Raw genomic sequence first — 26,021 nt, forward strand, 5'->3', positions numbered from 1 at the left:
GACACAGTGAGGATTATGTTATTATTTACACTTTCACCATGTTTTCGTGTTCACTGCTTCCTTTCTTTTGAACTCTGCAATGTTTAGTGGAAGTAAAGATTTTCCTGTTTTATAGCACATAATGGTCTGCCCAAAACATATCTGTAGGCTGTTCAACTCAGTACTAACACTCAAGATTCTCTTGTTATATGTATTTGTTGTTTATCTCAAAAGGATATTCATCTACTTGTGTTTTAACAACTGTGTGGTAACTGAAAGTTAAGCAGACACAGAAAGCAACATAATTTTTTTTCATAGCCAGGTAGTCCTTTGTTTGCTTCAGAATTTGTAAAAGAAAAGAAAAAGAAAGAAAAAGAAAAAAATCTGCATAGAATGCCCATAGGAGATAAATGGAAGTAATAGGTTAGGTCCTGTTAGTACTATTCCATGCATACTAAACAGATGGCAGACAGCGTGCCAGGAATGTGCCTTTTCTGTTTTGTATGTTTTGTTATTTGGTTTTAAAACAACTGGCTTATTTTATTTCCTATTCCCTCTTTTGTTCATTTTTCTTTCATCTTTTGTTTTTCATTGTTTTCACTGAATTTGCAATAGTGCTTTTTATCTGACATGGTATCTTTTGCTCTGTGGACCTTTTCCACAGTATTTGGTACAATACTTAGTATAGTGAGGGATTATAAATTAATAAGTGTGTATTAATTTACTTTTAGCTGAGAAAAATTTTTAAAGGCAAAGACACATTTTCTGATACTTTCAGAAGACTTCTAGCGAATTCTTTGTTGGCTTGTTTTTGTCTTTTTAAAAGAGATATTGCCTGTAAGCCCCAGACATCCTTTGCAATCAATGCTTTCTTTTCAGTTTCCACCAATTAGCTTCCTCATGACTTTTCTGTCTTAGTCTTCATGACAGATCCAACTGTAGGTTGGAATTCTTCAATTTTCATTTCCGTCTAGGATTCTATTCATTGGTCACCTAAATTAACAGTAATTTTCATATTTGGAAATGTTGCCGATGACAGCTTGAAACTCAGTTGAATTGTCTCCTTTGTGGTTGCAGTGTGTTCACCCTAAGTTGAAGAATTATGCTTAGTCTTCCACGCCATCTAGTATTCTGATCCAGGCCCTGGCTTCAGTGGTCCCTTTGCTAAGATGCCAACCAGCCTTGGGCTGCCCTGTATGACTGAGAACGAGGCCTGAGGTCTAGATGGCCCACAAGTGCTGTAGGCTAGTGTTGGCTTTGCTGAGACAGGTTGTGTTTGGGAAAATCTTATTTATTTTTAAATTTTTAACATTTGTCCCACCTTTTTATTTTGAAACTTTTCAAATTTCCAGAAAAGTTGAATATTCATTGAATAAATATAAACGCATACCCCCATCACCTAGATTTGCCAGATTTTCACATTTTGCCACATTTTCTTTATCGCTTTGTATATGTAAAACATTTTTTATTGATCCACTGAAAACTGCACATTATAAACTTAACCCCCAAATACATCAGTATGTACTTAACCCCTAAATGCTTGCATTCTTCATACTGTTATCTCCCACAATATCATTATCACATCTGATACAATTATAATAATTCTATATGCCATATATATAATCTTCGTGAAAATTTCCTCAGTTTTCCCCAGAATGTCTTTGTAGCTGACTAATTGTTTTGTAGAATCCAGGCCACTTGTCTTGTACAGTTGTGTCACATTCTGGCTTTCTGCTTGCTTTCTCGTGATCAGACTTAGAATGTATAAAGGATACTGCTTAGGTGATATTGTATACTTCTCGTTACATCCACGAAGTCTGAGAGGTACATAGTCAGTTTGTCCTGCTGTTGATGATGATGTGACTGATCCCTTGGTTACAGTGATGACCACTAGACCTCTTTATTGTAAAAGTAGCCTTTTCCCTTTGTAACCAGTCTATAGGGTAATATTCTGAGTTCATGCGAATTTTCCATTCTTTAGTAACCTTTCAGCCAGTGGCTTTAGCATTTGTTGGTGATCCTTGCCTGAAATTGATGGTTAATTTGGAAGTTGTAAAATGGTGATTTTCTACTTCTGTCACTCCTTTTACTTTTATAACATATTGTTCTGTAAAGTAGCTTTCTTTTTCTTCTTGCCCCTTCTCCTGAGTGTGTGTGTGTGTGTATGTGTACATGTGTGCGTGTGCATGCACATGAATGTGCATGTCACATATTGAGTGTGTTGTGAAGCATTATCATTATTCTTTTATTTTCAGAGACAGGGTCTTGCTCCATCAACCAGGCTATAGTGTAGTGATGCTGTCATAGCTCACTGCAGACTTGAACTCTTGGGCTCAAGCAATCCTCTCACTTTAGCTTCCTGAGTAGCTGGGACTACAGTCATGTGCCACCACACTTCTTAAAAATTTTTTTTGTAGAGATGGGATCTCAGTATCTCTAAAAAGAGATAGTGAGAATGTCTCAGACTCATTTTGTGCTTTGTCTGCCTTACACCTAGAATCAGCCATTTCTCCAAGGTACTTGGTTCCTTATACTGGGATGTATGTAGAAACCAGTTGACCCTCCCATTGCTCCTAAAGTTCCATTCCTTTATGCTTTTTCAGGGAACAGAACTAGGAAATAATATTTTTTGAATATTACAGGAAATAGTTTTTAAGATAATAGTTTATATTACTTAACATTATAGGGTTTTCCCTTGTACATTTATATCTCTTCTATAATAAAATATCAGTCTCCATAAAATTAATATATTTACTTATTTGCTTTATGCTGCAGTGTACATAAAATATTTCAGAATTATAGTATCAGTGTTATGACTGACTATAAGCCTACCAAGTAAAGATGAAGATTTCTTTGCAATTATTTTGTTGTTGTTATTTGTTTCTGGTTATATTTTTAGAGTTTCTTTGTAAATATTATTCTTTAATACATAAAACATTTACATGCTTCAGGGCTTAACTATACAAGGGAGGCCCAGAGGAGTTTGCCCTTATCCCTATGCCCCTCCCTCTACTCTCACCCAACCCTTGAGAAATCATTTTTATTGGTTTCTACTTAACATTTTTGTGTTTTATGTTTGCAAAAAGAAGCTTATGTGTATTTTCCCCCTGTATTTATACGTCTTTTCTTTTTCTGTTTCTTACACCAAAGCAGCATTCTAGGTACATTTCTTTTGTATCTTGGCTTTTCTGTCTGTTTTACAGCTCTATAGTACTTGATTGCACAGATGTGCCCTCATTTATTCAGCCAGCCTCTTATGCATGGGGATTTGGTTGTTTTCAGTATTTTGTTCTCATAAATCAGTGAATAACACGTGCTTATGTTCTTTTGTATTCATAGGGGTGTATCTTCTGGGTAAATTCATTGAGTCAGATTGCTAGGGAAATATATATGTAATGTTGTTAGAAAGCTCCCACCTTCCCGCTGAAGAGGTTATAGCACTTGGCATTCCCACCAGCAAGGTGGCAGGGTGTTTTTTTATAGCCTCGCCAACAGTGTGCTGTCAGACTTTTGAACTTTTGCTAGTCCTATTAGATAAAATGTGTTCTCTCAGTAGTTTTAATTGCACTTATCTTATTATGAGCCATATACTTCTTTTACAAATATAGTTTAATTGGTCAATCTTTTTTTTTTTTTTTTTTGAGACAGAGTCTCGCCCTGTCACCCAGGCTGGCGTGCAATGGCGCGATCTCAGCTCACTGCAACCTCCGCCTTCCAGGTTCAAACGATTCTCCTGCCTCAGCCTCCCAAGTAGCTGGGATTACAGGCGCCCGCCACCATGCCCAGCTAATTTTTGTATTTTTAGTAGATACGGGGTTTCACCACGTTGGCCAGTCTGGTCTCGAACTCCTGACCTCGTGATCCACCCACCTCAGCCTCTCAAAGTGCTGGGATGACAGGCGTGAGCCACCAGGCCCAGCCTGTCAATCTTTTTTAAAAAGTTACTTATAAATTTTGAGTCATAGTTATGAAAGACTTTTCCATTGCTTAGTTATAAAGGAATTCACTCATGTCATATGTGAGTATTTGTTTTTATTTTGTATGTTTAGCCCTCTCACTCATTTGGAGTTTACTCTGCTGTATATGATGTGAGGTTTGGATTTTGGTTGTATCTTTTTCCAAATGGCAATCAGTTGCAGTATCATTTATTAAGGCTCATGTGTGTAATCCCAATACTGGTAGGCCAAGGCAAGAAGATCATTTGAGCTCAGGAGTTCAAGACCAGCCTGAGCAACATAGTGAGACCCTCATCTCTACAAAAAAAAAAAAAAATTACCTGGGTGTGATGGTGCAAGCCTCTAGCCCCAGCTACTCCTGAGGCTGAGGTGGGAGGATTGCATGAGCCTGGGAGGTCAAGGCTGCAGTGAGCATGATTGTGTCACTGCACTCCAGCCTCAGCGACAGAGTGAGGTTCTGATCTAATAAAAGAAAAAGTCTACCTTTTTTCCCTGCAGCAAAGGAAGGGGGTAGGTGGGGAGGGACCTGGTTAAAACAAAAAAGAGTTTGCTAAAGGGGCACACTGATGTTTGATCTAAGTTTTTTATTTGTTTGTTTATTTTGCACTCCAGCCTGCGTGACAAAGCATGTTGCCCAGGCTGGTTTATAACACCTGGCCTCATCCTCCCACATCAGCCTCCCACAGTACTGGGATTACCAGCATGAGCCACCGTGCCTGACCTAGGTTTTTTGTTTTGTTTTAAGTGTAATTTTGTTCTGAAAAAAGTTGAATAAGAGAATGAAGCTTGATCCAGAGACACAATTAGGCTCCCTAATATGACTGAATTTATACCCCCAAATTATAGACCTCTCCTTTTGGTGGCAGAGTCTGATCCAGCACATTTACTATGCGGGTAGGCAGAGAAGGCCCACTCAGAACAGGCTCTCTAAATGAGCAGAAGTGTATTTAAATGCACTACTGGATCCCAGGCCATAGACTCTTCATCGGCACTGTTCAACAAGAAGGAAAGTGTACATTTTGTTGTTGTGAGGCGGGGCATTGGAGAAGACACTATAAAAGGCTTAAGCTATTGTTCTCAGCTGGGAGGCAGTGCTGCTCCCTAGGACGTAGGGGCATTTGGAAAGGTGTGGGGGTGAGATTTGTCATGAGCACTGGTTATTACTGATGCCGACTGGAAAAAAGCCAGGAATACTAAATGACCTGCAGTATGGAAAAAGGGTGCCTATGATGGAGCTGTCACACCCACAATGCCAGTAGCATCCCTATTGAAAAACAGACATGGAAGAAGAACTTGTTTGGAAAGAGTGTAGTTTAAAAACTCTGGAAAAAGTTGAAAGAACATCTAAAAACATCAGGGGTGTCATGATGGGTGAGACTTAGAGCCTGCTCTTTGCAGCCTGCTCTTTGATATGTGCACGACCAGCTGGGAGCTGGAACAATTGCTCTTAAGCACATTTCCACAGAATCCAGACAGGAGCATCTCTAAGTGATCCCTTAAAAGAGAGATTATTTGTGCTCTCATATTCAAGGAATGACATGTTTAAAGCTGACACTTGAAAATTGTCAATAACCAGTTTAATAGTTAAATTTTTTTCTTTTTGGATTGTGTGTAGTAATTTTATCATCCCATTGAAACATTTATGAAGTAAGATAATGCTTTGAAACTCTAGTTCAATGTCCAGCATATAGAAAGCACTCTATAACTATTAGTTCTAACCTTGTTTATATAACAGTTGTTAACTAACCTTTGTGTATATTTTCAGAGAGCTATTGCTTACCTTTTCCCAAGTGGTTTGTTTGAGAAACGAGCCAGGCCAGTAATGAAGGTAGTTATCTTAATTACTATTTTAAAAATTTCACTTTTATATGTTATGATAATTATCTAATACATTATTAATTTATTTTACAGCATCCTGAACAGATTTTTCCAAGACAAAGAGGTAAGTTTGTTCAAGAATGAGAGAAACAGTTTTTTCTTTACCGTATTCCGGTGTTAGGTTATGTATCAGCGGTTGCTCACATATCGTAGGGTGGCCTTCCTGTGTCACAGTAGTTGTGAAGTAGGTCAAAAAATTTTGTAACAATGAATGAGTGAAGTTTGCAAACCATATCTTTTAAATTAAATACTAAAATTAGATGTGTTTAGAGCTTAGGACTATACCAATGTCATACTAATTATTTGCATTCCAATATGTCCTTTTGAGGGAGAGTTTGGTACAGATCTGCTGGCAACTAATTCAACTTCTGTTTATATGAAAATTTAAAACTTTTCTTGATTTTGGAAGCACATTTTCACTGACTGTAGATTTTCTTTTCTGTTCTTTCAATACTTTAATGATGTAATTCCATTGTCTTGTCTTACATAGTTTCTAATGAGCAATTAGCCATCATTCTAATTGTGTCTCCTGTTTTCTCTGGCTTCTCTTAAGATATTCTCTTTATCTTTTAAATGTGTAAAAAAAAAAAATTGAAGAAAATACACAGCAAGCTTTAAGGTTGTCAAGAAATTGAATAATATATTTACTATACATTAGAAACCTCTTATCCAGTGAGGACCAGTAGTTCTCTGTTAACTTAAAAAGTATTAAAGCTAGAAATCATTTCTTTAAAAAACACTCAAAATGTAACCTGTACTTACCCATCAAGCTTTTGCTGTGACCCTAGAGGTTTGGTGGTTTTGAGTGTGTCTGCTGCTCCCCGTTGCTTTTATGTAACCATGCTGCTGATGCATCATCGCAGTCTTTCAGTTTTGATTTTCTTGCAGTGGAGCAGTGAACTTACACTTCCTAAGAAATCTGAGTGCAGAATATTTTTGTATTTCTACAGATTCTTCCCATCAACCTTACTGAAGTTGACACAACTTTTTTTTTTTTTAGCAACTTGCCTTTCTAGAGCATTCAACCTAGTTTTCTTAGAAGTAGCAACTTTTATGTTTGCACTCATATTTAATTTATTTATGTAATACTTAATTCATGTATTTATAGAAATAAGTACAACTGTAATAAAATAGGCTTGGGAGTAAACATAACTATTAGTAAGCATGAAACTCAGCAGCAAAAATGTGTGGATCTACTTGAGAATAGCTTGGTGGCCACAGGTTCTCAATACGCAGGCCGCTTTATCAGTGTGTTTAGAATTAAATAGAAATTGGTAAGATAGCAGATATTTCTATAGAAGACTTATTTATTTTGCAGTGGTATTTCTGCTAAGTCATATTTTTATTCAAAGCTAGGCATTTATTCTCTTATTCCAGTTCACTCTTGGAAATGATAACTTTTAGTTTGAATCTTATTATAAATGTTTTGAATCTTTTTATAAATATGCTCTATCATTTGTATTCCCTCAGTTCTTAATCATGGTTGATTATAAATTATACCATCGATTTAATAATAGCTTTTGGGGAAATAATAAATGAAGACTATGTTAAAAATGCACATCACTTTTGCAGATACAACTCAGTGTTACAGAAGTAAAACTATGCACAGGGCACAGTAACTTACATTAAACACCTAGTAGCTTTTCGGTAAATGTTTGTAATGACAGTGATTTTTTTTTCTTCTTCTTCTTTACTAACTCTTCTATTTTTTTAAACCTCTCAGGCTCCTCACCTATTTCTCTCTCTCTTTGTTCTTTATATCTCTACTAGTTGCATCTCTTCTTATACATCTGCCCCTCTAAGACTGGTTTGTTCTTTCAAATCATACCAGCTTCTCAGTATTAGAAGTTTATTGTTACTAGCAGCCAGGTTGTGACAACTGAAACTTCTATATATCCCTGCAAAATGCCCATGTGTTATTTTGAAAATATGTCACTCCTGGTAGGATTATCTTAAGTTGTAGTTTACTATATGTAACTGTATGTAAACAGTACTCCTCTAGAATTAGTAAAATTTTTTTGTTGCTTACCTACCTACCTCCCAATTTTGTTGTATTTCATAAATATAGGATAAACTGATTTTTTTGTATGCTAAAAAAGTAACAGTGAATTTTAGATTTGGATAGATTTTGACACTTATAGTGTACTAACACTTTCCTTATTAAAAGATGGAAGCTTCTAGATTGAGTTAACATGAAATCTTGCTCTGTATGTTTTAAAGCAAGTGATAAAAATATTAAGTGAAACAAAGATGACTACTGGGTCAACAGGAGCAAAGAGTAGCACTCATATTAGACAAAATGGAATTCAAGGAGTGTGAGGAATACTTCAACGAAGCAAGAATGTTAATTTATGTTGATAAAACCTAATCTCCATTGAGTAGATTTGATGACCACAAACCTTTTTGCACCAACATTTAGCATCGAAATGTTCAAAACAAAAGCCGTTAACTTAAGGCTATAACGAATTTGAATAACACAGCATGATTTTATAGTTACAGATACAAAGAATACATTTTCTATGCAGAGGCCTATGGACTATTAATAGAATTATGATGTAATTGGACATAAAGAAAACCTAACGAATTCCAAGTAGTAAAAATCATATCATTCGATTTTTCTGAGTTAAGATCAATAGAACCATATGACTGTTGAGTTAAAGAGAAAATCAAAATTGAGGTTACAGACATGACAATGACAACAGTTCCTATTAAATCCTATGGAATATGGACATTGTATTATACAGAGACAAGCATATATTTGTTAGAAATTAAGAAAGACTGAATATAAATGAACTAAATTTTCGGTTCAGGAAGCCAGAAAAAGAAAAATAGAATAGAGGAACATAGCGAAGAAATTGAAAAGAAGGGGTATGATAAACAAAACCATGTCATTCTTTGAAAAAGCTAGTGAAATCAATCAACTTCTAGCAAATCTGGCCAGGGAAAAAAGAGAAAACATAAGAGGACAATATTAAGAATTGTAAATAATAATATTCAGAGGGTAATTTTAAAGTATGCAGTTGTTATGGGTAACTTTATTCTAACTTGAAAAATCTCTCAAGTAAGAATTGTTAGCATTTATTGAAACAGAGTAGGCCAGGCATAGTTCTAAGTGCTTCCTGTGTGTTAACTTACACTCTTCACAACAGGTTTTTTAAGTAGATACTGTAATTTTCCCCACTGCACAAATGTAGGAATTAAAAGCACATGGAGTTTAACTTACCAAGGACGTAACAGCCAGGAAATAGTTGAGCCAGAATGTAGGGAGGCCCAGGCAGTTGTGGCACACACACATATGTATGACCACCAGACTCAACTGACTCTCAGACATGTAGTTGAAAGAATAATATAATTGCCACAGTTGTCTCAATCAGGAGAATAGTGGTTAAACCGGTGGTCCCCAGCCTTTTTGGCGCCAGGGACCAATTTTGTGAAGGACGATTTCACGGACCAGGGGTTGGGGGATGGTTTCGGGATGATTCAAGCTCATTACATTTATTGTGAGCTTTATTTCTATTATTACATTGTAAGATATAATGAAATAATTATACAACTCACCGTAATGTAGAATCAGTGTGAGGCCTGGGCTTGTTTTTCTGCAACTACATTGTCCCATGTGGTGTTGATGGGAGACAGTGACAGATCGTCAGGCCTTAGATTCTCATAAGGAGCATGCAACCTAGATCCCTCGCATGTGCTGTTCACAATAGGGTTCACGCTCCTATGAGAATCTAATCGCACTGTTGATCTGACAGGATGTGGCACTCAGGCGGTAATGTGAGCAATGGGGAATGTCTATAAATACAGATGAAGCTATGCTGGTCTGTGGTCTAGGGGCTGGGGACCCCTACTGTAGAACCAAGTGCTCTTACTGCGAAACACCCACTCTGGTCCCAGTTGACCAGTCATGACAGCAAATACAAATCAATAGAACCTGGTACCTGTCTGTGGCCCAGGGGTTGGGTACCCCTGTGTTAATCTAAAAGCTGCAGAAGTTATAAAGGAGCGCCAAAGGTCTAATGAGAAAGGCCCAGGCCTAGAAGGTTTTGTCGGGAAGCTCTGACATACCTTGAAGGAGGATGTAACTATTGTTATCATTTAAACTTGTAGAGCAGAAGAAAAGAATGAAAGCTTCTAAATTCCCTTCAGAGGGTCACACAATTATCAAATCTGGACATAAATTTCATGAAAAAGAAAGCTATAGTCTGTTGTCACTAAATAAAACACTAGCAAACCAAGTAAAGCTTTATATTAAGAGAGTATACCAGAGGGCCTTTTTTTCTCTCCAGGAAAATAAGGATGATTTATGTAATTCTCTGTGTTAATTGAGTCAAGGTTAAAACATTTCAATAAAAAAGTTAATTAACAAAATTGAGCATTAATTTTTTTGGTAAAAACACAACCTAGAAATAAAAAGAAACTTTCTTAGTTTGAGAAAGCATATCAAGACAAACAGAAACACATCAAATTTAAAAATATATCAATAGATCCCATTAAGTTCAGGAATAAGACAGTTATGTGCATACTCGCCTGTGTTATTTGGCATTGTTTTGGAAGTTTTACCTAGCATGGTTAAAAAAAAAAGTGTGGCTAAAAAAGTATGAATTAGAAAACTGAAAGAAATTAGGAAAATCGATTATTATTCACAGATGTTATGACTGCCTACTTAGAAAATAGAAAACATTCACTAAAAACTATATTAGAATTTCAGCAGACTACCATTATTTGGGTACCTGAATTCAAAACATTTAAACTATGAATTGTTCTGAAAATTTTAAAAATGATACCCTCTTATAAAAGCATGCCACAGTATAGTTACTGGGCGAAATGCTGATCCTGCAGAGATCATATGAGCATCCTGTCAGTTGATGACTCTGTGGCAGCCACATCTACACACAAAGAAATCAGTGTGGAATGGCATGTAATGATGAACTAAATAACATGATGGTCTTACTGGTAGCAAATGAATTGCAATCTTTCACTTCCTTTATGTATTTTGGCAGACAAGAACTGTTTTAAAAACGCTGAATTCCAACTATACAAATACATACCTACATATTCATACAGACACATACATACGTATATACATACATGTACCTCCTTTTTCTCAATTCATTTAATGGAATGCTGAAAAATAGACTATGCAGAAGATAACAGAGTTTGGTCAAGACTTTAAAAATTATTGTGTGTTTTTGGAGTTAAGAAATTCAAACTCTAGAACAGAAATAAGGTGGCTAGTTGAAGAATATACATACAGCTTTCAATACTTTTAAAGTAATAGATATTATGTCCTTAAAATCACAAAAACTAAAGGACAAAGATGACAAATTACTTATGTTGAAGTTAAAAATTTCTCTTTGACAAAGACACTAGGAAATTTGAAACATGCCAGAGGCCTGATACCTAGAATAAATTACTCACAAATTAACAAAAGCAGCTTACTAGAGAAATGAGCAAAGGCAAATAAGCAATTCATAAATAGAAAAAATTAAAGTACCAGTAAGCATTTGAAAATATCAGAGATCAGAAATAACATCTTATGGATGGGCATGGTGGCTCACCCCTGTAATCCCAGCACTTTGGGAGGCCGAGGCAGGTGGATCACAAGGTCAGGAGTTCAAGACCAGCCTGGCCAACATGGGGAAACCCCATCTCTACTAAAAATACAAAATAGCCGGGCGTGGTGGCGCACGCCTGTAGTCCCAGCTACTCGGGAGGCTAAGGCAGGAGAATCACTTGAACCCAGGAGGTGGAGGTTGCAGTGAGCCAAGATTGTGCCACTGCACTCCAGCCTGGGCAATAGAGGGAGACTCCATCTCAAAAAAAAAAAAGAAGAAGAAAAGAAATAACATCTTGTAAAACAATAATGAGAGACAATTATCACAATCATCAGGTTGGAAATTGTAAATATTGTATCAGCAACAAATTGGAAAAAGTCTAAATGTTCATCATAGGGTAGCTAAATAAACTCATGCTGTGGAATAATATACAGGCCGTAAAAAGAGTGAGATAGAGCTAGTTGTGCTAGTAGAGGTGTAACTTTGAGTGGAAAAAGCAAGTAAAAAAATGGTGTATGTAGCATAAATACAGTTTAATACCGTTTATATCTTTAAAAGAACCACACAAACAACCCTATTTCATGCAGGCATACATAGGTAAATGCACAGAGAGTCCAGAACAATAAACTCCCGCCTTGTTCTGGCAACGGAATTTTAACATGTGATCTGGGAAGTATGTGTTACTTGTGTAAAATTATGTTTTTATTATAGATAACTGAATAGGGGAGGGCAGTATCAAGAGAAACAGAAACTAAAATACACAAATAAGACTTGCAAAATATATGAGATTTATATAGAAAATTATGATAACTCAGTTAAAGATCAGAAGTGAAAATCTGAACAGTTGGAAAAATTCCATGGTTCTCTAAGGGAAGACAATATTCCAGAGTTGCTGCTTTCTAAATTATTGATAAATTGAATATAACTTTACTTAAAGTTTTGGCACAACTTTTGGGAGAAACTTGTCAAGTCTAGTTGTGCAAGAAGCAGTGGGAAAAAAAATTGTTTTAAGTAATGAAGTAAGCTCATCATACCTGGTATCAAAACCCAGCAAAAAGCTCTGCTAATTAAAATGGTGGTTACTGACGCAGAGTAGACAGACCAATGAGCAAAGTCCTGGCAGCACGTGTTTGTGCCTTATTCAGTTAATTCTAAGACTTTTTTTTTTTTTTTTTTCAAATTTTAATGTCTGACAGCAGGGAACACTTCACAATTTTTGTAAACTATGATACATATCATGGTTTGACAGTATTTTTTCTCTTTCTTTGTGATATATAAAATACATGATGAGGCATCTTAAAATCTGTGATACCTTAGGTTCGGTGAAGTCAAGTGTGTGTGTGTGTGTGTGTGTGTGTATACATTCACATATGTAATGAAATCAATCCCATGATATGAGACTCAACTCAAGCATCTCTCCAAGCTTACCAGTAGAGTCTTGTCTGCAGCCATGATGTTTGTCATTTTTTATCACTTTCTGACGGACTAACCATACAGTGAAAATCAATTGCATAAGAAAAGAAAAATATTAGAAAATATGCCGGATTTGATTCATGAAGTCTATGACAATGATTTTGGAAAAGTGCTGAAATCAACCATAAGCCATTAGCAAATAAGAATTTGGTTTTTCAAGCTAAATACCCAAGCAAGACTTTCTTTTTAGCATTTATTATGAAAATGTGGTCTTTGTTTCAGAAGAAAGACATCCTACATATAATACAGGTGGTATTTCAATAGAAAAGCATGTACTATTCAAAAAACTGTAGAGAGATAATGACTCTTTACTGAACAAAATAGTTCTTGGATTTCTGCCTCACAAACATAAATTCCAGATAGATTAAATATTTGAACATGAAAATAAAATAAAAATTCCAGAAGAAATACAAGAAAATAGTTTTAGAGAGCCCAAAGCCTTAAAGCATGTTTCCTCAGTGGGGGCAAAGACTGGTTCACGGGGGTGGGGAAACCTAACTGTTACAATGGTTTGTGGCCCTCCAGTGGGCCACAGTATACTTCAGCAGATGTGTAGTGTATCTGTGGTATTAACATTTCATGCGGGGGCGGAAATTAGGGAGAAAATGCCTATAAAGGATTCCTTCATGGGATGAATCATGAAAAAACAAGTCATGCTGCCGTAGAGGAAAAGCGACAGATTTGACTATTTACATATTTTAAACTTCTCGATTATGAAAGGTAACATAAGTAAAAGTAAAAGGCAAGTGACAGCCTGGGGGAAAATAGTTTACAACTTCTGTAATGGACCAGGAAGTATAATCTGCTTCAGAGAAACAACAGAGATAGTATGCGCAAAGGACACAGAGTTAGCATACAACAGAGATAGTATGCGCAAAGGACACAGAGTTAGCATTCGTCTTGTTTCTTAGACTAACACCACTTCTCAGTTTGCTTGGTGGTGGTTAGTTAGATATGAATGCCCATCTGTATTTCAGAAGGAATTACACCCAACACCTTTTTGAGGCTTTTCTGTTGTTGATGTTTTAAACTCTCGGAGGTTGATGACCACTGGGTTGAAACAAATGATGTAGCATAGAAAAATACATTCTTTAGTTTTCATTTGTTTACCTGTTTTAGATTCTCTGAATGCACTGCATTTTTTTACTTTATCAGTTTTCCCTTTTAAAAATATGGGAGGGAGTTATGTTTATGGCCAAACCTAAATTTTTTTATTCTAACAAGATGATTTGGGCTATTTTATAAGCTTTTATTTGAAACAATACAGAAATTCTCATAGTGAAATATTTAGTAATTTTTAAATTAAATGTAAACATTGTTTTATGTTAATGGTATGAAATATTTAATATCCTAAATATTTGCATATAAATATGCTAAACTAAATATTAAAATTCTAAATGTTGGTGATTTTTTTGTATTTTTTATTACTCAATTATAAATGTGTCTCATAACTGTGGTTAAATGCAGCTATTTGGTCTGTCTCTGTGTATATTTTTATTTGCTTTCATCTGGCTTTTTTAAATCAGCAATCCAGTGGGGAGAAGATGGCCGTCCATTTCACTATCTCTTCTATACTGGCAAACAGTCATACTATTCATTAATGCATGTAAGTATATTGCATTTATGATAAATAATATGAGCTGTAAGCTACAAAACTAATTATACTGGATACTGTTCGCAGCTTCAGAATTTACCTAGTATTTTATAATTGACAAAAATAAGACTTCTAGAGGTAGGACAGTGTGTTGATGAAATGATTTATAGTAATTCATTTTTGCTAAAGGTGAACTTTATAGAGTTTATATCAGAATGGTTTGTCTTTAAAATGCTTTTACTTAGAAATTGAAATCATGTTCCAAGATAGATGTTCAACTCAATTATAGTGTGTACATGTGCTTCCAGGGTAAAGAAGGAGGAGGCCAAGTGTATGATGCTGTCGGGGGCTGTGAGGCATTTGCCTTGAAAAAGAATCAAATGGTTATTTCTCATTTTTTGTTGTTTTATATATATATAATTTTTGCCTTTCATAGGTTAATGCAGTGTATGAGCCTAGAATTTGGGCCCCAAAACAACCTAAGAAATTATTTTATTACAGTTTGACTTCCAACTGCATTTAGTATGCTGTGAACAATTTTTGTTTTGTTTTCAGAGCTATAAGTGTCTGATAGTGTGCAAATTTGGAAGAGTTCCCCAGAACTGCTATGGAAAAAAAGGCTGGATGCCAATATTCTGTTTTTATTTTTAGAACATGATATCAAGTTCTATTTTACTCATTATATGATTTTTTAAAGTTTCAAAAATATTTATTGGGCTTCCCCCATCTACAGTCAGATTGCAGTGGCTTGAATCAGTGCACACATTTACTCTGCTTTTTAGAATTATCTGCTGTTTATTTGTGCTCCACAAACCCAAAGGACAAAATTCCCACTTGTCAGGTACATTTATTTCTTGGGGGAAAAAAAAAAACAACCTTCTTTTCGCTTTTTGTTGACCTTGGGCAAATGAGCTTCTTGCCCTGGCAGAAATGAAATGAATGATAAATGTAGAGTGTGTCTTTGCTGAGTAATGGAGCTGCGGCTCCGGCTCGGTAGAGGTTCTCTCCCGCACAGCCTGAGGCTGCCCGGGGACCCCTGCTGTTCATTTAAATAGGTATGTCAAATCTGCCTCCAAACGCCGCCGGTTTGATCTGTGGTAATATTTGTGAAGGTTCCATATGGACTTGAGCCCCCTGCAGTGCTAAGAAATAATGTACAACGCTTCATGGTGCAGACGCAAATTTTCTCTGAAAAGGGATGCAATGCTGCGTTTTAGCTGTCGGAGGGGATGATGGAGCTGACGCGCTAGGCCTGTCAACTTGTTACACGGATGGGTTGCACGCAGCGAAGCTGTGGAAAATCTGTGCCTTTTAACTTTTCTACTTAATCACGGTTGTAGCATTGCCTTTAGACTGTATGCTACATTAATTCTCTTCCTGCCTTCTGCCTTTCATCCCAAGTTTCACGGAAAAAAGTAAAGCATGCAGGTCTTGTAGAGGAGCCTTATCAAACAGCTGTCATCTGACATGCCATTTGCATTTGTTTTGGCTGAAACCGAGCAACCCAAGGGCAAGATATTTTGTTACATTCCATCATAATGAGGAAATTACACATCCTATAAGAGACCTAACTTTTCTAAGTTTGTTTTTATGTTTTAAAAGGTATTGTTCAAGAAACTGATCAGTTTCTAAGTGGATGAAATGTTACCATACTCTCTGACTAAAATGTCAAATGATATCTGATTAATAAACATTCTTTGTTTTTGAGTAATTTAAGTTTTGTTACGTATCTATAGAAGAGTCCTTTGGGCTTTTATATTTTAGTTCAATGCAGTAATTTCTAAGTGTATGCCTTATGCATACATTTCAGCATTATGTATAGCAGGTGTCATTAATTACAGCTGCAGTCACACCAGCCTAGTTTCCCAGATAACACATATCACGATCATCTGCAGGAGATACTGAGACTTTGAAATAGTGACTAAATGTTCATCATTCACCCTACAGAAGCGTTTTTGTAGTGGCCAGGCACTGCGTAGAAAGTCCAGCTATAACACTTGGAGCCATCTCGCCTGTCTGCACTCTCTTTGTTCTGCCTGGCCTTGGTGGTGGGGGGAACCGTCCCCTTCCCACTGTGAGTGATCACAGGATGGCTGTCCCCACTGCAGCACGGGAGGTCGCCCCTGAAGACTGTGGCAAGCTTTAAAGAGTTGGAAATGAATCCTTGTTGCTACCATTTATTTTTGTTGATATAATTTTTTCCCTATGTGGCAGGGTAACAGACACTAAGCCAAACTGTTTTTCCCACGTTATTGCCCAACTGTAATTGTACGAGGCCCAGATGCCATTGGCCAGGAGCTGTGACAGGAAAACACATCTAGTGCCTGTGTGCAGTTATGTGAGGAGACCCTTCTGATGCCGATTAACCTTCTTATCCTCTGTAAAGTTGACAAATCTTTTTAGTATTTGGTGACTGTTTGCATAGGAAGCGTATATATTACGTTATAGCAATTAATAAAAGATGGCCCTGATGCACCTTGCAGTGCATCTTAAGATCTGTGTATGACACTTTAGTGAATCCTGTTTCCAGTTGACCTATATTTAGTCCATCCACTTTCTCTGGAGAAATGGGGAGGTTTTTGAGGAAAAATGGCCATGAAATATAAGGTACAGTTTATTGTTCCTGCCCAGAAATGAAGCGTGATAGGAAAGTATAAAGTGAAGGGGGATTTGCTGATCCGTGATGTTCTCACGTTTTGGAAATGTGCCACACTCCACAGGTTCACTTGCAAGGCACTTGGGGCTCCCATTTTCCTATGGATATAATGATCCACATGTCTTCAGGTTCCTGGGAAAGTCGATTAAAAACTCATTTATTTTACACTAATAAGATGTATGTATATAATGAAAAAGTATAAAACCATAGTAACAAATGATTTCTTAATAAAAAGTAATTTAAATAAGAAGAAATAAGAAACTTCTTGAGTTTCTCAATGCATCATTGAGTACCATGAAGGGATCCCCTGCATGGTGGCACTGGCTTGGCTGGCTTTTTCACCAAAAATGGATGGCTTCTCATTTCCTTAATAGCCATTTAACCAGTATAACTTGTTTGCTTTTCAGACATGATTTAGGGCTTTAGGTTTCAAGAAAGAGAGAAAGAATAAAGTTTCCTGAAACAATTGAGCAAAGGTGTGAAGGAGGGGGAAGAATGTTAAAGAGGATATAGATGGCTGTGTAAAAAATAAAATGCTATACAGCAAGATAACCGAGTTGTGACTAGCCTAGGTGTAGACTGCGGGAAGTGGAGAAAGGACTAGGCCAGAGAGTGGGCTGCCCTTTGGGTCCAAGGCTGTAAACCCCACCAGGGTTACCTCCTTTCCTGCAGCAGCTTGGGCCTGTCCAGGATGACCAAGCTGGTGGCAAAGGGAACGGTGGGCCGCAGCCTTGGTGTTCATGGTTCAGTTTGTGAAGGTCCTTTAATTTTAAGAAAAAAACATTTACCAATACATATGTTTCTGAAAAATTAAAATTCACTAACTAAAAGTAAGTTGAAAATCCTTTAAAACTCATAATGGGAGGGGATTATTTGACGCTGAAGTGGTAACCCTTTTGTAAAACATGGCTCATTAAGTCAAGGCATGTCTGTAACACAGCTCTTCCCAAAGTGCTTTCTGCAGAATACAGACTGTGAAATATTCTTCAGGAAAGAGGCTCTGAAGTGGTGTTAGTTTAGGAATGTTACATATTGTGTACTGGGGAACTCTAATAAGGAGACACTTAGTAGGATCAAAGCTCTGTGAAGTCCTTAAGAAACATGTTGTTTTAACACTCTGCTGCTCAAACCGAGTGGGCTGTAGAACACTTCCTACTCCAAACCCCTTTTAATGTCCCATGAAACCAGTGCTTGGGGAGGACCATAGTACAGAATATTGAAAACTCTATATATTGTCATTGTAGGCATTACTCGCCTTAGATAAATACATTTTCTCAAAAGAGAGGTTAATAAAGTCCTAGTTTTACGACTGATATCAGCCCCAATACCCTAAGCATTTATTGAAGTTTTACAAAAGCTCCCCTCATCCCAGTCTTTAAGGAAAGGAAAGTATGCAACTCTAAACACTGCACTAGGTTTTAGCATTGTGTAGAAACTTCATTTATGTTTTAGAACCAGTTTTACAGTAAACAATTGAGTATTTTCAAAGTATTTCTTTAAATTGAAGGAGTTACATGGCCACAGATGAAATATATACCAAAATATATATATATATATATATATGTAAAATGAAGGGATAAGTAGTAAAGTTTAAAATGTGAGAGAAAACCAGGTAATTCTAATCCTTGTAACGTATGTGTACACAGGGTTCATTTGCCTTGTGAAGGAAGCTCCTGGCGTATTTGGAGAATCTCCAGTTCATTTTAAAGGACTTCAGTAACCTACTCGGTTCTTAAAGCCTGGAACAGCAGCCCCAGAAGTGTGCTGCTTCATTATGTGAAGATTCCAGACTCTTAGCAGAAGTCCTGGGGACGGAGTATCACAGAATTCTTACTTAGTTCAGATGTGTCTAGATCCTCTTTGTGACCTTGCAGAGAATATTTAAAACTCTTGCATGTAGTGCTGTCTTTTAAAAATTAAGATAGTGACCCTTCTCGCAGTGAGGTGTCGTGAAATAACTACAACTATGTAAAGTGCTTATTTTAAAAAAGCTACAAACTGATGCTAAAATATATTTGCATGCTGTTTTAAGACTTTCCTTGACAGCAGGAGTTAATTCAGTAATTAATTCAGCAGTCGAAATTGCTGTTATAGAGGTGTCTTTAATGTATATTTTCCTCCCATATGAATAATTACCATTGTATATCTGGTATGCTCCAAGTGTACCAATTAAGAAAATTAATTTTTTAGAAAAGGATTCAACATATTATTGTCTCTATGTTGGCTTTAATTAGATTACCTCTTTGTAATGGTATAATTACTATAATATATGATGGGCCTTTAATTTGAATAGTAAAAATATATGCTGTCTGAGTTATAAGAACTTTCAGGTCATCACTCCTGGGTGTGGACTTCCCCAGAGTCCTTTTTCATATGTTCCATCTTGAGATGATTTTCTTTGTATGTTGAATGGCATTTACATGATGTACAATCTATATAGTATATTGTATTGTATTCACAAAGTAATAGCAAGAGTCTATAACAGAAGTATGTCACTTGGAACTTGAGATACATAGCGTAAACCTCTTAGTTAATGATAAGTGGATTACATTTTTATTTGTTTGATTTGATTTTGTATATGCCAGTGGCCAAAAAATTGAGGAGAGAATTTAAGAAATTGATTTTCTGTGATTTCTTTAACAAACACAGATTTTAAGTCAGTTACTTTACTATTACCATACTAGTATCTAAGATAATTACTATTAGTTACTATTTATGTTGTGTACCAAAATACAATAGACTTTTTCTATATCACCTCCCCATGAAATGTTACTTGTTTACACTTCCTAAAATTGGAATTTCCACATGATTAATAGAACCAAAACAGATTTCAGAAGGATACTAAAAATCATAGTGCTCATACTCTCAGAAGGGTTTAGTTTAAGCATTTCTTTTCTGCAACCTGAGCATCTGGTATTTTCAAATTAGGCACCTTCTAAATTTGACTCATACATTATGGAAATCTGATGACACGAGGGGTGGATAGGCTTGCTTTGATTTTATGAAATATTAATCATAGCTGTGATTAATGATTCAGCATTTCACATCTGGGTTATTCCTGTCATATTTGAAAATTACACTGTTAAATACAGTATATAAACTTAGTGTAGGTGAGTCATACTAATTCTCTAGTGTCCCTTAAAAATTAAGTGGAAACTTAACAATATACCAGAAGCTACCAGTGGTAATCTGTGATGTTGACAGTTCTTGGCATATTTTATACCCTTAAGGATTTTTTTGATGTAAATTAGCACACATCTCTTCAGGGAGTTGAAGCTATAGAATCTACTTTCCAGAGAACTGTTGTCTCTAACTAACCAAGGTAGAATCTTAAGAGTGGTTTTATTATGCAAAAGAGAAAGAATAAATGGAAATGATGCACCAGTAAAATTGTTTGACTCTTGAAAGCCATACCTCACCCCCGCTATCATTCTTGACCATTACTATAGGTCAGGCACTGTGCTAAGTACGTACTTTACATATATTTTCCTATTTAAAGAAGTGTATGGAGTGGCTTAATGGGCATTATGTGATTTGATGGGTTACAATCATCAAATTGTAAGCATTTGCCACAAATGAATCGAATTCATCGTGTTTGAAATCTGACATGTCTTTTTCATGGGTTGTTTTCTCCTCTTCCACATTTTTTTCTGATAGTTTTACTTGTACCATTTATAAATTATTATAGATCTCAGTACAACAGGAGGAAATGGCATCATAGAAGAATACTTTAAGAAAAATAAGGACTGAGAGTAAAAATTGCTCAAAAGTCATTGGGAAATGACAGCCTATACTTTGACTTAAAACTTACGTACAAGATAGGTTGATTGTTGTTATTTTAGTTGCCTTAATTATTTCAGAAAATTAAGTAAACCCTTGTAAGCGGAGGAGGGTAGTAAATTACTCAGCAATTTACTACTATTGCTGGCATTCTTTTAAGTTCATATATTCTTCGCTAGTTTGAAAGATAGACTTGCACTCTCTGAACCTCAGGACTCTGGACGCGGCAGCTGAGAGCTGTTTTTTAATTGTCAGATACATTCCTCTGCTGCTGCAGGTGATGGATATGTAGTTGGAATGTAGTTTCCTTACCAGAGCACCCCAATGGAGCCACAGTCTGCCTGTGGTCCAGCCTGCTGACAGGCTGTGCTGGGTGCGCAGTGGCATGCTGTTTGCCTGCGTCTGTCCATTTCGTATAAGTGGGGAGCATCCATTTTTTTTGGTGGGGGGAGTTCTTTATTCAGGTCATTTGAGAATTGCTTCTAGAAACAGAGGTGTATTGAAATTTTTCTGATATACTATCCATTTGAAGTCCCAACTCAGTATTGTAGCCTTTAAAAGTGAGTTAAAGGTACCCTAACCACAGTCAGCAAGGCTTACCAATTCTTGGGAGATAAATTGTAAACTTTTACTTTCAGTAGAGTAACAGGGATATATATATGTGGATATATACCCCTGTTTTTCTATATGTGGATGGTTTGTGGTTTTGCTTTAGGGTGGACAGTTGGCTTTTGTTTGTCTTCTAATTGTCAGATACATTCCTCTGCTGCTGCAGGTGATGGATATGTACTTGGGATGTAGTTGTAGGGACATTTCCACTTAATATGAATACTAGGATGAAATTAACTTCATTTGTCCCTCTGCTATTGTGTTGAACTAGATTCTCTGTAGTTCTTAGAGTGTACATTTCTAGCCAGTCTAGGCTTGGATGCTGCTGCTGCTGATGATGATCTAGGGACTGCACTTTTAGAATTGCTGAGCTAGAGTGATGGATTTACTTTCAGTTTTGAGATATTCATGTCTACTGGTAATGTCTAGCTCACCACCAATTTTGTAGCTTCTAGTGCTGTTTCTTCTTTTCTCTCTGCTTCTTTTTTCTTTTCTCTTCTAAACTCTCAATTCTACTACGCTTAATGAAAAACAAAGCAAAAAACACTTACATGAATCTCCCCAGCCAAAAGGAATGAACTTTTACATCCTTATTCACTGAGGAGTCCTACCTGTTGAGTATTATATCGGCTTTTCTCATCTATGTTACAAAAATTCAAAGGCTCAGTCTGTACTTCGTCCCTCCCTCCCTCCCTCCTGCCTTTTTTCCTTCCTTCCTTCCTTCCTTCCTTCCTTCCTTTGATTCCTCAAAACAGGTTGCAGAGTGAAGACCATGCTAAAATGCAAGCACTAGTAAATGTGATGACAGTGGCAAAGGGACATTTCTCCTACACTTAGATAAAACTTTATCAGCAACATTATGTGGTAATATGGCAGTCTAATCAGAGCCCACAAGAAGTTGCCCCTGAAAACTTGAAATTATTAAGACTGTTTGAGATATGGATTGACACATCTCTATCAGTAACAAGGTGTATCTTCTGAGATTTGCTGATACTAGGAGGTATCATGATTAGCAAAAAAAAAAAAAAAAGTAAATTTATGTCATCTCTGGCTCATTCTTTTAAAATGCCTATCTGCTCATTGGGTATTAGTATGGTAGGTTATGTGTAAATTATAAATGAATAAATACAAATGTATTGAGTGTTAGTCTCAAAAAGTTAAGTTTGCTCAGGCAAAAGCTGTACTATTTTGCTTGTTGTAAACTCATTGCCTAGAAAATATATTTCATTGATGATCCTTATTGCTGGATTATTGCTTTTTGCAAGTTTTAACAAAATGGCAAACTTCTACTTCCATTGTAATTTAACAAGTGACATGCATTCACAGATTTTGTTAGGAAGTAAATTAATAGGAGGAAATCAAATAAAAAATATAATAGCTCTTTTTAAGATAAAAACTATATGATAAGGACTTCAATATTATTTAAATATTAAATAAGTAGTAAGTCGTATTAAATAATACGTAAGTATCTATAAATACCATATATTTTACTGGATAATTCTCTAAGTTTAAAGTGCACATTGCCATATAAATTACGATTTTTTCTGAAAGAAAAGGAAAATAGTTAAAGGTTTTTGGTTTTTTTTAACCAACCTCACTGAAGTAGAGTTGTAAAATTTTTATAGAGTTATTTTAAAATCAGCTAAAGTTAAGTGTGCTGTGATGTATGACACTAAATTCTCATTGAAATTACTCTATCATCCTTTAGTTTAAATGAGAAATAGTATTATTAAAAGCATTTTCAGTTTTATTTACTCTGCAGCTTGATTCTCTGAGGAGGAGGACACCTTAGGAAGTACTTACAGGAGAAAACTATAAAATATATCAGAAGTTATAATGTACCATTGCTCTTATTTTTAGCATGTACTGTATATTTTGTTTGCCATAGGATGTATATGGAATGTTACTCAATTTAGAAAAACATCAAAGTCACTTGCAAGCCAAAAGTCTGCTCCCAGAAAAAACTGTAACCAGGTAAGCTCTTTTCTTGCATTAAAATATAAGTAAAATTTGAACTAAAAACATGCCACTCATTGGTATTTTTTTAGACATACCTGAAGCCTAAAATTTGTTCAGTATTTCAGCATTAAGCATTAAGGTTAGGGTTCAAAATAATAGATAGTTTTTGTTTAGGAGGAAGCATGAATTGAAGTTATTTTTATGTTATTTTATCCCAGATTTATATGTGATAGAATATTTAATTACTATACCTGGATATGATGTCCTCAGAATTTTTATGTATATAGCTGCACATTTATTTAGCATTTGCATGCTTTAATTTTTTACATTTTATTTTTATATTTTGGTATTTCAAGGTTTCTGCTTCCATTTGGCAGACAGCGATAAGATCAGATCCATCAAACTGATCAGCCAGTGTTAAATTTTGGCCTATCTATTCAAGATTTCTTCCATAAAGGAAGAACACCTTGTTTAAGTTAAGTTAAATGCACTCCTGTCCCTTTAGTTGACCTTGCTACCACATTAGTCTATTGACAGGTTAACGTTGTATCTATAACATCTTCTTTGAAGTAAGTTATACAGGCACAATTTTAATCTTTAAGAAATCTGGTGGGCTTTTAATACCAAGTGAGTTCCATAGTGGCATATTTAACTCTTAAAACATTTGCTAGAGTAGATACCTTTTCTAGAGTAGATTGAGGAAATGGAATGTATGTCAAAAATAGCTTAGTTGGGTAAAATTACTGCTATATAATATAAAAACTGATTTTCAAATCATAAAATTGCTACTATATGTGGGATCTTTTGTGATATAACTCTAATTGCATGGCTAATTAAAAAGAGAATATATGTGATATTTTAACAGAGACGTGATTGGCAGCAGATGGCTGATTAAGGAGGAACTAGAAGAAATGTTAGTGGAAAAACTGTCAGATCTAGATGTGAGTAATTAATCTTTTTAATTTAAGGGGACCTATGCAATAAGAATACAGACAATTGCTGTATTTAGGATCCTAATAGTAATGTTCCTCAGAGGCAGGTGTTCCTACGATGACTTTTCTTTCTTTCTTTAAAAACAAAACAAAACAAAACAAAAAAACAAAACACATTCATCATTGATTTCTGCCTTGGGAGGACCTTATTTGTGGTCAGGGAGGTGACTTGTCGAGTCTCCAAGTCCTCCTCTTGTAAGTGCCCTCATATCCTGTGCCAGTTGTTTTAGGGAAGCACGGCAGATGTTGTTTCATCTCCTTACGTAAGGCCAGTAGCTAATTTTACAAGCTGATGATAAGTGTAAGGAGTCATTATAGGTTAAGTAGAAAAGGGATGCAGCACATGGTTACCTTCATGCAGTTTACTGCTTACCTTGTGTGCCATATCTGTAAGGTCAGTGGTTTTTATCTTGGGATCTGCAAACCACCTCTGTCGGAATCCCTTGAAATGCTGGTTACAAACTACAGTGTCCTAAGCCTCACCCTAGATCTAGCTCAGAATCTCTAGGGAGTTACCGAGGAATCTTTTTAACCAACTTTCCAGGCGAATCTTATACCCTATAAAGTTTGTGACCCCCTGCTTTAGGTCTTAATTGCATTCTTATTTTGTTAAATGTTCTAATATATCAACATTTTCACAGGACAGTTGATGTCTTAAACATTTTGATGTTCCAAATTTATTACTTTCTGGAAGATTGGGGTGTAGATAAATTTCACAAATTTTTCCAAGATGGAGATTTTCTTTGATGGCGGTGGCTAACATTGTTAGTACTTTGCCACCATATATAGATTTTAAGTCATGTACTTGAATTGTTCTTTTTCTCATTTAATGTATTATAGAAATTAATGATTTGGAAAAGTTGCAGTTTGCTTAAACAAAGTGTCAGACAATTGGTTAGTGGTAGATCCAGAGTTAATTTCTAATATCCTAACTGCCAAGTACTGCTCTACTTGAATCTAACTGAAAAATCTCTTTGCTTCTTCACTGAACAAGTAATTTCATTATTTCCTCTGTTTCTGGCTGCTTTGATTTTTTTTTAATAATTCAGGTATTTTTTCTGCTTTGTAATATCCCACGGACTTTAATACAGGTGTACAGCTATGAAAACAAAAGAAACAAGTTATATATGATACTTTGTACTTTGGGGTACTGGATATCAGAAGAAATCCTAATGTTTATGGCTGGTATCAAGATGAGGGATGTGGAGGTGGTCAGTGACTTCTTGACCTAGTTCAGAAGCAAGGCTGAGTTCCACCCATAGTGCCCCTTTGTAGGTGCAGAAGTCATTGAGAGTCTGTGAGATGCAATCAAGAGAGTAGCTGAGCACAGAACGCCCAGGCCAGTGACTGGAGAGGAGCATGGAGCTCTGCCCACCCAATATCCTAGGTAGCTGAGTATTTCACCCTTACTAGAAGAGTGCCTTCTCTTTCATTACATCATAGGAAGCTGTAGTCAAAGTAGTTCTTTTAATATTAATCTTACTGGTGAGATTTTTAAAAATTTCAAACTATTAATGGCAGATTTTTACAATAAAGGCAGTAGTGACAAAGATGAGTGTGATGTTTAACGCCGACAAAAAACATAAA

The 26,021-nt window shown here is 36.0% G+C and overlaps 1 protein-coding gene across 3 annotated transcripts in view, besides 2 other annotated features; it reads left to right on the forward strand.

Moving 5' to 3' along the window:
* MRPS9 (mitochondrial ribosomal protein S9) overlaps positions 1-26,021 on the forward strand; it is a 61,892-nt gene that overhangs the window by 27,544 nt on the left and 8,327 nt on the right. For 2 of the 3 annotated variants that reach the window (NM_182640.3, XM_011511644.3), the window contains 5 exons: positions 5,701-5,763; positions 5,847-5,877; positions 14,371-14,450; positions 23,372-23,457; positions 24,308-24,383. In NM_182640.3, the coding sequence (NP_872578.1) occupies positions 5,701-5,763; positions 5,847-5,877; positions 14,371-14,450; positions 23,372-23,457; positions 24,308-24,383 (336 nt within the window). Of the gene's footprint in view, positions 1-5,700; positions 5,764-5,846; positions 5,878-14,370; positions 14,451-23,371; positions 23,458-23,798; positions 24,384-26,021 lie in introns of those variants that run through there. The other variant, XM_047445533.1, reaches the window with a different exon arrangement.
* Positions 15,141-16,088: an enhancer, noted in NCBI's record as "VISTA enhancer hs868". NCBI's record gives its function as "enhancer in: neural tube[4/4] | hindbrain (rhombencephalon)[4/4]" and the evidence as "EXISTENCE:transgenic organism evidence [ECO:0001131][PMID:17130149]".
* Positions 15,247-15,748: an enhancer, noted in NCBI's record as "NANOG hESC enhancer chr2:105697317-105697818 (GRCh37/hg19 assembly coordinates)". NCBI's record gives its function as "activates a minimal SCP1, AML or CMV promoter by ChIP-STARR-seq in primed H9 embryonic stem cells {active_cell/tissue: H9 hESC(primed)}" and the evidence as "EXISTENCE:reporter gene assay evidence [ECO:0000049][PMID:30033119]".

This window comes from Homo sapiens, chromosome 2 (assembly GCF_000001405.40).
Source record: "Homo sapiens chromosome 2, GRCh38.p14 Primary Assembly".
In the NCBI taxonomy this organism is placed as follows: domain Eukaryota; kingdom Metazoa; phylum Chordata; class Mammalia; order Primates; family Hominidae; genus Homo; species Homo sapiens.